The following is a 13,917-nucleotide window of genomic DNA, read 5'->3' as shown; positions in this document are numbered from 1 at the left end:
TGTGGTTGGCACTAAGGGTTGCTCATGGAGTTGTCTCTCTCTCCCCTGGCACCCTGTAAGCTTTTGAGAGCTGGTAGTTTATTTCTCCCCTCCTCCCCCACAACAAACAGCCTCCCCTTAGGTTCTCAGGAAAAAAAGAGAGTATTAAATGAAGGTTGTTGGTACATTCCTACAAGCAAGACTCAGAATGTTAGAACCCTACTGTTGAAAGACACAGTAAAAATTATCTCACTTTGGAAAGTTGACATGGGCGGATTGCTTGAGCTCAGAAATTCCAGATGAGCCTGGGCAACATGGCAAAACCCCATCGCTACAAAAAATACAAAAATTAGCCAGGTATGGTGGTGCATCCCTGTAGTCCCAGCTACTTGGGGGGCTGAAGTGGGACGATGGCTAGAGTCCAAGAGACGGAGGTTGCAGTGAGCTGAGATTGTGCCACTGCACTCTGGCCTGGGTAACAGAGCCGGACCCTGTCTCGAAAAAAAAAAAGAAAGAAAAAAAATTATCTAAGCCAATCTCTAACCCAATGCATAAATCCCTTGGTGAAGCTGTTTTTGGTTGTCTACTGCTGAGTAACAAATTACCAGAAAATTCAGTGGTCTAAGGCCAGGCGTGGTGGCTCACGCCTGTAATCTCAGCACTTTGGGAGGCCGAGGCAGGCAGATCACGAGGTCAGGAGATCGAGACCATCCTGGCTAACACGGTGAAACCCCGTCCCTACTAAAAATACAAAAAAAAAAGGCCGGGCGCTGTGGCTCACACCTGTAATCCCGGCGCTTTGGGAGGCTGAGGCGGGTGGATCGCAAGGTCAGGAGATCAAGACCATCCTGGCTAACATGGTGAAACCCCGTCTCTACTAAAAATACAAAAAATTAGCCGGGCGTGGTGGCAGGCACCTGTAGTCCCAGCTACTTGGGAGGCTGAGGCAGGAGAATGGCATGAACCTGGGAGGTGGAGCTTGCAGTGAGCTGAGATTGCGCCACTGCACTCCAGCCTGGGCGACAGAGCGAGACTCCGTCTCAAAAAAAAAAAAAACAGAAAATTCAGTGGTCTAAAACAACTACCATTTTATTTGTGTATGATTCTGCAGGTTAATAATTCAGGAAGGGCTTGGCTGGGTGGCTCTTCTGCACCACTTGGTATCAATTGAGGTCAATCATTTGGTTGGGGTCATTCACTGGGATGGGCTGGCAGAACCAAGGCTTTGCTCATGTGTCTGGTGGATCAGTGCCTCTCCATGTAGCCTCTTCCTCTCTGCATGGCTAACTTGGGTTTCCTTACAGTGTGTAGTGTAGGGTAGTAGGGATTCTTATAGGACAGCTTCCAAAAATGAGCATCGCAAGAGAGGGAAAAGTAGAAACTTCAGCTCCGTTATAGTCTTTCCTCAAAAGTTGTATCAGTCCAGGCGCAGTGGCTCATGCCTGTAATCCCAACTCTTTGGGAGGCTGAGGCAGGCAGATCACTTGAGGTCAGGAGTTCGAGACCAACTTGGCTAACATGGTGAAACCTGTCTCTACTAAAACTACAAAAAATTGCTGGGTGTGGTGGTGTGCACCTGTAATCCCAGCTACCTGGGAGGCTGAAGCAGGAGAATCACTTGAACCCAGGAGGCAGAAGTTTCAGTGAGCCAAGATCATGTCCCTGCACTCCAGCCTGGGCAACAGAGTGAGACTCCATCTCGGATTAAAAAATTAAAAAGTTATATCAGTCATTACTACTGCATTCTACACATCACAGCTAGTCATAAGGCTGGCGCAGCCAAAAAGGGAGGGGGAATAGATCCTACCTCTCAAAGGGAGGAGGGGCAAACAATTTGCCGCAAATCCCATTTAACCTACCACAGAAACCTTTCAGATCATGTTTTAGCCTAGGCTTAACTATTTCCTGTGATGAAGAGTTCCACACAGCAAAAGGGCAGTGCACTTACAGGCAGAGCAAACAGAAGATATCTCAGCTCATGAACCTGGACCATTCAACTGCACAGTACTTGTTCTAATGTTGCTAACAGATAGTGCCCTAATGAGCCTCTCCAAGGCATTTCTGAGGCTCTTCAAAATGAAGATATGCCAGATCAAGATTACTATTTCTAATGAAGTTTAAACATTCACATTTATCAAATTAATATTTGAACCAAAACAAACATATAATAATCATAACCTTCCTTGGCAATAACATCCACAGCCTGTGGTTGAGACCCTCAGTGAACATGAGAGTCTGGCCAAATGGCCCTAGTGATCCTTCATGAGCCCCAGCATAGAACATCCCACAATTTCTCACCCACTCTATCACTGAGGTTCTCAAGGAGACCATTGACCAGAAAACCTCCACTCATACCTTAATCCCTTCATGATCTCCTTGTGAGCTGAGCCCCAGGACTCCAGCTCCACAGAGCCACTCTTCCAGTATCTGGAGCTCAGCCCCCATGTGGGAAAGAGGAAGGCCAGAAATTAGAGCAGGTGCTTTCACGGTTAGGAGAGAGATAAAAAGAATTGGTTTTCTTCCCGAACAGACTTAAATAATCATATGCAAAACCCAGCAACATAAACTAAGTATCTCTCCACTGTGGGTTGGATTTGAAATACTATTATGGAGTTATTGTTCATTTCAATAGGTGTGAAAATGACTTTTATAGCTGTGGAGGGAAATGCCCTTCTTCATAGGAGATGCATGTTGAACTTCTTAGGTTTTGATCAGGAATCTGCAAACTAAGGATCCTAGGCTGGAGTGCAGTGGCTCAATCTCCACTCGCTGCAACCTCTGCCTCCTGGGTTCAAGCAATTCTCCTGCCTCAGCCTCCTGAGTAGCTGGGATTACAGGCGTGGCTAATTTTTGTATTTTTTAGTATTTTGTATTGTTAGTAGTTTCACCATGTTTTAGTAGTTTCACCATGTTGGCCAGGCTGGTCTCGAACTCCTGACCTCAAGTGATCCACCCGCCTCAGCTGCCCAAAGTGCTGGGATTACAGGTGTGAGCCACTGTGCCCAGCCCACATCCCTTTGTTTCTAAATTGTCAGTAGCTGCTATTGTGCTACAGCAGCAGAGTTGAGTAGTTGTGTGACAGGGACAGTTGGCTCCCAAAGCCTAAAATATTTACTATCTGGCCCTTTACAGAAAATAGTTTGCCAGCCCCTGGGTTAGAATATCATCATCCATGACTTCCTTTAAAATTGTTTAGTAAAACAATAGCAACAACAAAGTGTATATGAGTGTGAGTGAGCATATAAATATTCTCCATTTAAATTCACCAATTATTAATATTTTACCACATTTGCCAGAGAGAGAAGGCAAATGTGGTAAAATGTTAAAAATTGGTGAATTTAAATGGAGAATATATGAGTATTCATTTTATTTTTTCTTTCAACTTTTCTTCATGTTTGAAATTTTAAAAAAATAAAATGTGTGGAGGGTACATACTGTTTCCAAATACTGTTTTCCACATTATACTCCATTTAAAAACTCACAAGAGGCCAGGCATGGTGGCTCATGCCTGTAATCCCAGCACTTTGGGAGGCCAAGGTGGGTGGATCACTTGAGGTCAGGAGTTCGAGACCAGCCTGACCAACATGGTGAAACCCCATCTCTACTAAAGATACAAAAATTAGCTGGGTGTGGTGGTGGGTGCCTGCAATCCCAGCTACTTGAGAGGCTGAGGCAGCAGAATCACTTGAACCTGGGAGGTGGAGGCTTCAGTGAGCCGAGATTGCGCCATTGCACTCCAGCCTGGACAACAAGAGCGAAACTCCGTCTCAAACAAATTAATTAATTAATTAATTGATAATAAAAACTCAGGAAAATCTGCTAAAAAATTTACAACTCATGGGAAAATTAAATAAGGAGATTAATAACACTCATGGAGGATCACTAGGGCCATCTGGCCAGACTCTCAGGTTCACTGAGTGTCTCAACCACAGGCTGTGGATCCAAATATATAACTAGCAAGTACAATAGGTTTAAAAATAATGGGTACAATCTTATTCACAATAGCAACAACGAATATTAAACCTGAAGTTTAACTAAAAAAGAAATGCATGGGTAGGTGTAGTGGCTCATGCCTGTAATCCCAGCACTTTGGGAGGCCAAGGTAGGTGGTTGGCTTGAGCTCAGGAGTTCAAGACCAGCTGGGCAACATGGTGAAATCCTGTCTCTACAAAAAATACAAAAATTAGTTGGGTGTGGTGGCACATGCCTGCAGTTCCAGCTACTTGGGAGGCTGAGGAGGGAGGATCACTTAAGCCCAGGAGACAGGGGTTACAGTGAGCTGAGATTGTGCCACTGCACTCTAGCCTGGGCAACAGAGTGAGACCCTATCTCAAATAAAAAGAAAAAACAAATGTGGAGCACTTCAAGAAAATAAATTTTACCAAGTTCCAAAAAATAGAAGCATATAGGTATATAGATAAAAGTTATTGAGAAAGTTTGGGATTAGGTGGTCAGCACTTTTAAAGGTATTTTAAAAAATTAACAAAGACAAAAAGAACCTTTGAATAACATATCACATTTCTGAACAAGAAGATTCAATGATTCAATATTGTAAAAATGTCCATTTTTCACAAAGACAGCTATAAATTGATGCAATTCTAATGAAAATCACCGAGGTCTTTGTTGTTAAGAGGGTGGGAGATAATGACAAAATAATTCAAGTTTCCCTGGCAGAAAAAAAAATGGGTGAGATTAGCCAAGGACATTTTGGAAATGAAGAGTAATGGTAGGGTTCTTACCTTAACAGATGTTAAAATTTATTTTAAAGCTACAATAATTAAACAATTAAGTCTGGCTCAGGAATAATAAATCAAAGAAGAAAAATCCACAAAAAGGTCCACAAGTAAGTAACAAGTAAGAATCCAATGAAGGCAGCAAGTCAAATGAGAAGGGAAAAGACAGATTACATAATAAATAATATGGGGACTACTGGCTGCCATTTGGAAGAAAATAAAGAGCCCTCTATTACATCACCCTCCAAAGTGAAGGAAAACTAGTTGAAGTAAAATCAGGAAAGACATATAAACAATGTAGATTTTTATAAGCTTGTGATGTCACAGATTCTTCTAAGCATGAAGCAAATAATGAAAATAAATAGACTGATAGATTTAGCCAATTAAAAGTTTAATCCTATGTACATCTGAACATACTGAAACCAAATTTAAGAAAAAAATAACACTGATAAAAATATTTGCAACATAGGCCGGGCACGGTGGTTCACGCCTGTAATCCCAGCACTTTGGGAGGCCGAGGTGGGCGGATCACGAGGTCAGGAGATCGAGACCATCCTGGCTAACACAAAACCCCGTCTCTACTAAAAAATACAAAAAAAAAATTAGCCGGGCGCGGTGGCGGGCGCCTGTAGTCCCAGCTACTCAGGAGGCTAAGGCAAGGGAATGGCATGAACCCGGGAGGCGGAGCTTGCAGTGAGCCGAGATCGCACCAAGGAGACAGAGGGAGACTCCGTCTCAAAAAAAAAAAAAAAAAAAAAAAAAAAAAATATATATATATATATATATATATATATATATATATATATATTTGCAACATACATGAAAAGGCCAACATTGGTCGGGTGCAGTGGCTCACACCCATAATCCCAGCACTTTGGGAGGCTGAGGCGGGCAGATCACAAAGTCAGGAGTTCGAGACCAGCCTGACCAACCTGGTGAAACCCCGTCTCTACTAAAAATACAAAAATTAGCCGGGCATGGTGATGCACGCCTGTACTCCCAGTTACTCGGGAGGCTGAGGCAGAAGAATCCCTTCAACCCGGGAGGCAGAGGTTGCAGTGAACCGAGATCACGCCATTGAACTCCAGCCTGGGCAACAAAGCAAGACTCCGTCTCAAAAAAGAAAAGAAAGGGGAGGGGAGGGGAGTGGAGGGAAGGCAAGGCAAGGCCAATGTCCTCACTGTCTAATTAGTATGGGGCAAAACAAAGTTTTAAAATTTTTTTAATGGGAAAATGCCATGAGTATATTGACAACTGCAAGACTCTCTGCACACACGTTAACAACTCCATCAAACTCTGGCCATGGCTTCTAGCAGCATAAGATCATGTCCCTAGGATGACTCTAGACCTCCATTAAAAAGCTCAACGTTACCGGAAAAACCTACTATTTGTTCTAACCAGCACCTGTCAATAGACCAATAACTCTTTATCCTAGACCACAAAATGTGACTATATCATCTCCTTGAATCCTCATAAATATTTCCAGAAGAGTGTTATTATTACCTGAATATTATGAACAAGGAATGTTCTAGGCCTCATTTCTGGACTGGTGGTTTGGGATGCAAAAGGCCCCGGTTCTGATTCTGAGTCTATCCCTAACCACTACTATATGTGAACTTGGCCAAGTCTCTTCTGTCTCACCCTCAGTTTCCTCATCTGTAAAATAAGAAGTGGATTGGCCCGGCCGGGCGCAGTGGCTCACGCCTGTAATCCCAGCACTTTGGAAGGCCGAGGCGGGCGGATCACGAGGTCAGGAGATCAAGACCATCCTGGCTAACACGGTGAAACCCCGTCTCTACTAAAAATACAAAAATTTAGCCGGGTGTGGTGGTGGGCACCTGTAGTCCCAGCTACTCGGGAGGCTGAGGTAGGAGAATGGCGTGAACCCGGGAGGCAGAGCTTGCAGTGAGCCGAGACTGCGCCACTGCACTCCAGCCTGGGCGACGAGCAAGACTCCGTCTCAAAAAAAAAAAAAAAGAAAAAAAAAAGAAACAGAAGTGGATTGGCCCAAATGGTGTGTCAAGTTCCTTCCTGCTCAGACATTACAGATTTCTATTCTCATAAAGCACCCAGTACCAACCAATGGCCAAGGATTGATCCAAACCAGAGGTCAGCCCCAGTGGTCTCAGGGGCTAATTAGGTGGCCGCACGCAGGGGCCCCATGCGCTGGCCCACCTTGAATTCCTCGTGGATGCGTTCCTCCAGGACTTTGGCAGCCTTGCGGTCTTCCATCTCCACTTTCCACTTCTCCGCCAAGATCCGGGCTTTCTCATTGGCCAGAGCATCCCGGAACTTCTTGGTGATCTCTGCCTCCTTCTGTCTCCTACCAAGAGAGCACCACAGGTATAAGCTTGTGTGAAAAACTGAAGGACCACCTAACAATAGAACTTGAAATAAAAACAATGAGCAATTTTTCCTTGGTCTATCAGAATTCGGTGTTGGCAAAGACAGGGAGAAATAGGCATTCTCACGCATGGGAGTGTAAATCGGCACAATTGTTCTGGAAGCCAGGAAAACTATGCTAGAAACCCCATTTCCTAGATTTTCTACACTCACTCAAGCGTACAAGGATACATGTAGGTTAGGCATGGTGGTGCATGCCTGTAATCCCAGCATTTTGGGAGGCAGTGGCAGGAGGATCGCTTGAGGCCAGGAGTTCAAGACCAGCCTGGGCAACATAGTGTGACACCGTCTCTACTAAAAATTTGAAAAATTAGCCATGTCTGGTGGCATGCACCTGTGTCCCAGATACTCAGGAGGCTGAGGCGGGAGGATCACTTGAGCCCAGGAGATCAAGGCTGCAGTGAGCCTTGATCATGACACTGCACTCCAGCCTGGGAAACAGAGTGAGACCCTGTCTCAAAAAAACAAAACAAAATGATAAATAAATAAATTCATAAGTAAATAAAACAAAGATGCATGTAAAAGATGCTTGTCAGATTATTTTTATAATATAAAAAATGGTAAACAACCCAAATGTCCACCAATAAGACCAATAAGTTGGGTTTCTCATATCATATAATAAATACCTGTACCATATAGTAATCTTAAGTAGCATTTTGGATCTATAAGTCAATTTGTCAAGGTGTGAATAAAACAATTTACAAAGCATGTATTAACTAAACATTCACTATGGTTACATTAGGTGGTGGGTGTGAGTTGTTCTTTATTTTGTATAGTTTTCAGTGTTGTTTACCTGATTTTAGAATCTTTCAATTAAAATACCATCATTAAGGCTGGGTGTGGTGGCTCACGCCTATAATCCCAACACTTTGGGAGGCCGAAGCGGGTGGCTCACCTGAGGTCAGGAGTTTGAGACCAGCCCGGCCAACATGATGGAACTCCATCTCTACTAAAAATACAAAAATTAGCCGTGCGTGGGGCTAAGCATAGCTTCCATGCCTAGGCCCCACCCAACACCCCATAGCACCCCTCACCAGAGCTCCTCAGCTTCCCTCTGTGCCTGCAGCCGCGCCCTCTCTGCAATCAGCTCCTCAGAGATCTCTTCGTAGGGCTTGTCACCAGGGCCTTCTCCCATGATCCAGACCCAGACCTCGCCATCTGCCCCTAGGAGCCATTGGATGTGCTTGTCACTCGCTGCTTCACAATAGAAGAAGGAAGAAGAAACAAGTTTGATTTTCAATCAGTAAGGAATGACCTAAGCTGCCCAGTGGTAAACAACCATCACATCACTCTATGGAACATTGTCATCCACAAAAAGAATGCCAGAGAGACACTGGCCTGGGGGCAGGTCCACAACCATCTCCCACTCTCTATTCCTCTAGGGAGAAACGCAACAGCCACACCAGCCTGCGGGGGTGGGCGTCCAAGACTGAGCTCTCCTTCCATCTCCAGCAGAGAGAATGTACAGTGAAAAGGAGGCCGAGCATGACTAGCTCCAACTTACTCCTAACCTCCCGGCCCCTGCAGTGATATCTTTTAGGTTAACTGCTTTTGCTTACCTCCGCACATAGGCCGAGCTAACAATGGGAGGAATTTAGTGTATAGTTTAACTGTAAAGCAAGGATGATAATAGCCCCTCCCCAAAACGAACCCCCCAGGAGACAAAGAGGGTGTACACACAAGTAACGATGTCATGTTAAAAATGTATAAGAGCATTGTGACCTGACCAAGGACAAAGAACTTTACCCTCGCTGCCACCCAGATGTCCATAGTCATTGCTCACCCTTTGATCTCAACCCCCCCGCCTCTTCCCCCTTCCCTTAACATAAAAGAAACCCAAAATTCATATTAGCTTAGGAGGTTCTTTAGGACACTAGTTGCCATCTTCTCGGTTCGCTGGGTCTCCGAAATAAAGTTGCTTTCCTTGCCCCAACGCCTTGTCTCTCAACTTATTGGCTGTTGTGTTGTGAGCAGTACAAGCTTTGGACTTTGCTACAAGAACATCAAGGGACATTGCAGCACTCTCTGAAGGAAGAAACTTGTGTCACTCCCGGGCCAAGGCAGTTAGGAGATGGTGGGCCCGCTCTGCACTCTCTGCCTCATGTCCACTGGCTAGAAACAAGGAATCAGGTGGTGGTGTGAGATGAAGCAGCCTGGGGCCCTGAGTCTCCCAGTCCCACAACAGACCGTGACACTAGCAAGAAATAAACCTGTGTTAAATTCAGCCACTGAGATTTCTCAGTTTGCCTATTGCAGCAGATTCCGCTGATTACAGGATTAAAATAAAAATGTATCCCAGAAGCAGGGTGCTGCTGAAACAGAAATATAAACTGTGTTACTGCCTTAGCAGTTGGGTGGTGAGCGATGTTTAACAGGCTAGAGATCCATGTTATGCAGCAGCAAAACATTCAGTTAAAAAGCTAGACACTGTAACTTCAAAAGCAGACCCCATGCTTTCTGAACTTTTCATTCTAAGGGAGGAGGTTGAAAAATAGAACATTAGGAATAAGTGTTGGTTGCTAGTGACTGTGTTTGGCAAGGTGTTAACAGAAAGAAATGAATTCAAGAAAGAACTGAGTGCTTTGCAAGCTGAAAGAAAGGGAATAGAACAAATACAGAAATTTGAGATGTTGTAGGATTGAAAAAGCATCTCTTCATATACCAGGACCGACATTGCAAGAGATGGGATTTTTAAAGGTTTTGTATGACAGAGCACAGGAAAACTTCTAAGGTGAATAAAGTGACGAAGGGCACACAGCACCTGCAGGTCAGGCTCTGTGAAGTTCTTATGGTGACCATGAGGATGTGCTCCGTCCACCTTCAACCACAAGGAGCATCACTGACCAAGCCCCGCAGCTCCTGTGCCCTTGCGTTTGCCCAAGGCCCTGCTTCCCAGAGGCTGCTGTTAGCCTTTTATTGAGGATGCTAGGCTCATTCCCAGGAGACACCCACCTCCTTGCCGAAAGATTGCTTTCCCTGGACTGCACAGCTGCCTGCAACACCTCTGCCCACTGTCCCTTGCCCTCTCCTTCACTCAAGGTCAAGCTTACAATGACTCCCTCAGCCTCCTCCAGCTCCCTGCCCTTTTTCTCTCCCAGACATTTCCCTTAATAAAACCCTTGCATGATTAATCCCATCCTGTCTGTACTCCTTGGAGAAACCAGACTAACATAGCCACATTAAGAACGTGATCTCTCATTGCGCCACTGCACTCCAGCCTGAGCGACAGAGCAAGACTCTGTCTCAAAAAAAAAAAAAAGTGTGATCTCTCACACTTATTTTTAGAAAAAGCTTCAAGGAAGATGTCCTTCAGGTGAAACAGAGAGGCACAGAGATGAAGGGACAAAGGAAGAATGTCGAGTTGAGAAATATGTCTAGGAAAGAATTTTAGATGTTGTTACTGGGACATGGAAGCGAACAGAAGCCCCCTAAGTTTTTGAGCCTGGATTAAAAAATCTTTGGTTGTTCATGACTTAAATGGCCCTTGGGCATCCAAGTTTGATGACCAGCAGGCAGGTTTCAAAGGCTACACTGGTCTAGAGGGTGTGATCCTCAACACTCCCTTCAGAGGAGGCCAAGGGGAATCAGACAAAAAGCCTCATCCAGGCTGAAGTCAGTGTTCACTCAAGGAATTCTCTTCACTGCAAGGCAGGGAAACTTTGCGGTCCTGACCTGTAGGACTTCAGAAATGCTATAGACTGGAGACTGTGGCTCTCACGTTCTCCACTTTTCCAGGTGGCATTTCCTTAGTGGGTATTCTGACCCTGCTCCAGCACTGTATATAGTGCCTTAGGGGTGACAGGTATTTAAATGATATGTCTTCTCAGCACATTCAGACCTGATAGAGACCAGTGCAGAACCCCAGAGACAGTGGACTTTCAGCTGGATGCAGTGACTGGCTGGGACCTGAAGGTGTCCCCTATAAGAGGTGGTGAGTGTATTTTAGATGGAGGAGAAGAATGAAATGTGTGGATGGCCAGAATGACAATTTAGGACAGTGACAATGCAATGTCCACCACCCTATGTCTCTTCCTCAGCCCACAGATGACTGACTACATTCCTCAACTTCCCTTCAGTACAGTGGGACCATGTGATCGAATTCTAGTCCACGGAATGTCAGGGAAGGGATTTGTGCCATTTTCAGGCTAAGGTGGTTAGCAGCGGGTGTGCCTTTTCCACATTTTCACTCTTGTCCACCCAGCTGGAAATAAATGGTGGAATTTCACGGAAAAAAAGCAGCCTGATCCATGATCCAATATTCGAAAGCAAGCCACACAGAAGAAATATCCAACCCACATCAAACTGTGAAATAGTTAAGTAATAAACCTTCATCATATTAATCTACTGAAATTTCAGGTTTTTCTACATGCGCAAGACAGCAGTAATTCTCCAGATATATATAGGAGTGCATTGCTATTTTTAAGTATGTTACAAGCAATATATAGTAAAGAAACACCGATTTAATTATAACTGATAGAAACAGAGAGGCAACCACTGCTTAGAATTATAAAACTTTCAAATTAATAGTGGGTAAAAATAAATGATAAGAGGATTACCAATCCTGCTAAGCAAGGGGAAAAGATAAAGCAGCAAAAAATGGGTAGCTATTACAGCAGACACTGCCAATTAACTACCCACCCTCCACGCTTGCCTCACCACAGAACCCCAAGTTGTTCAGGGAGCAGCAGAGATCCCCCCTCTTTTAGGAAAGGTGAGTTTTGACCCCAACCTCAAAGGACAAATAACAATTGATTTGGCAGGGCGCAGTGGCTCACGCATGTAATCCCAGCGCTTTGGAAGGCTAAGGTGGGCAGATCACCTGAGGTCAGGAGTTCCAGACCAGCTTGGCCAATATGATGAAACCCCATCTCTACTAAAACTACAAAAATTAGCTGGGCATGATGGTGCATGCTTGTAATCCCAGCTACTCGGGAGGCTGAGGTGGGAGAATTGCTTCAACCTAGGAGGCAGAGGTTGCAGTGAGCCAAGATCACGCCACTGCACTCCAGCCTGGGAAACAGAGTGAGACTCGGTCTCAAAAAAAAAAAAAAAAGAAATTGATCTAATCCCATCAGGTAATATTATTCTCATTGGCAAGTGATTCATCTATGAGTGACAAGATGTCCCCATTTCTGACAAAGAAGATGTAGGCAGACGTTCCATGTAAAGGGCTCTTCTTCTCCAAACAAACTGGATAAGTCTTCTTAGGAGAAACCCCTTCCCTCTTCACTCTTTTTTTTTTTTTTTTTTTTTTTTTTTTGAGCCGGAGTCTCGCTCTGTCACCCAGGCTGGAGTGCAGTGGCGCGATCTCAGCTCACTGCAAGCTCCGCCTCCTGGGTTCACGCCATCTTCCTGCCTCAGCCTCCGGAGTAGCTGGGATTATAGGCGCCCAACACCACGCCTGGCTAATTTTTTTGTATTTTTAGTAGAGACGGGGTTTCACCGTGTTAGCCAGGATGGTCTTGATCTCCTGACCTCGTGATCCGCCCGCCTCGGCCTCCCAAAGTGCTGGGATTACAGGCGTGAGCCACCACGCCCGGCCACTCTTCACTCTTTTACCCGACCTTCTTCTTCCTGCCAGGAATGAAGCAGTGATTCCTGGAGCCACTGGAAAACTTTTGCAACCATGAGGATAAAAGCCACATGCTAAGGATGGGGAGGCAAAAGATAGAAGGGAAGGGATCCTTGGTGATCTTATCGAGCAGCTAAACTAGTATTACCCATTGCAGCACACCCCCAGATTTCTTGTCATCTGAGAAAAATAAGGAAATTTAAGAAATAAAGTTCTTCAGTTGGGTGTGGTGGTGCATGCCTCTAGTCCCAGCTAGCAGGGAGGCTGAGGCAGGAAGATCCCTTGAGCCCAGGAGCTGGAGACTGCAGTGAGCTATGATTACACCACTGCACTCACTCCAGCCTGGGTAAGAGGGCAAGAACATGTCTCTTTAAAAGAAAAAAAAAAAGGAAAAGAAATAAAGTTCTTCATGGAGATAGAGGGTAGAATGATGGTTACCAGAGGCTGGGAAGGGTAGTGGGGCTGGGGGTGGGGGGTACAGGGGATGGTTAATGGGCACAAAAATAAAGTTAGATAGTGTGAAAGCAAACTAAATATGGCCTGAGAAGGACTCTGTTGTTCTCTATTTGAGTCCTTGTGGACGAACCATAACCTAACTTAATAGGTATACAAGACTGAAACCGTAACTTAGGAGTATCAGCCTGTAACAACAGGGGAGTCTTGGCCAATCCCAGCGGCCATACTTCAGCCACTCATAGACTGCTGAGTGTTCAAACTGTGCTCAAATAAGGCAAATGCCAACCTGTGACCAATCCACCTGTTTCTGTACCTCACTTCCAATGTCCCTTTTTTTGTCTATAAATTTGTTCTGACCATGAGGCATCCCTGGAGTCTCTCTGTATCTGCTGTGATTCTGAGTGCTGCCCGATTGGCAAATCATTCATTCCTCAATTAAATTCCTATAATTTACTTCAGCTGAAGTTTTCCTTTTAACAATAGAATGAATGTTTTGGCTTAAGCCACAAAATTAATGGTTATGTTACTAAAATGGAGAACATGGAAGAAAGAGGCTGGAGATATCAATATTCTGTTTTGGCCAAATTGTTTGACATGCTTATTAGACACTCAACAGGCAGTTGAATAAAATAGGATTCAGGGGAAAGGATGGGACTAAGAAATAAACTTTTTGAGTCATCAGTGTACAGATGATATTTAAAGCCAAGGAAATGGATGGGATCAGCTAGAGAGTGAGAATTGGTAGAAAACGGAAGATGCCCAAGGACATTGTCC

At 44.7% G+C, this 13,917-nt stretch overlaps 1 protein-coding gene across 3 annotated transcripts in view; it reads right to left on the bottom strand.

Annotated features, from left to right (window-relative positions):
- Nucleotides 1-13,917, bottom strand: part of SH2D4B (SH2 domain containing 4B) — a 108,659-nt gene that overhangs the window by 68,095 nt on the left and 26,647 nt on the right. For all 3 annotated transcript variants that reach the window (NM_001388272.1, NM_207372.2, NM_001145719.1), the window contains exons 2-3: nt 8,150-8,312; nt 6,888-7,035 (exon numbers count right to left, since the gene is read on the bottom strand). In NM_001388272.1, coding sequence (NP_001375201.1) covers nt 6,888-7,035; nt 8,150-8,312 — 311 coding nt within the window. The remainder of the gene's footprint in view (nt 1-6,887; nt 7,036-8,149; nt 8,313-13,917) is intronic.

The sequence above is a fragment of the Homo sapiens genome, chromosome 10 (genome assembly GCF_000001405.40).
Source record: "Homo sapiens chromosome 10, GRCh38.p14 Primary Assembly".
NCBI lineage: Eukaryota > Metazoa > Chordata > Mammalia > Primates > Hominidae > Homo > Homo sapiens.
This window is presented reverse-complemented; position numbering and strand designations above follow the sequence as displayed.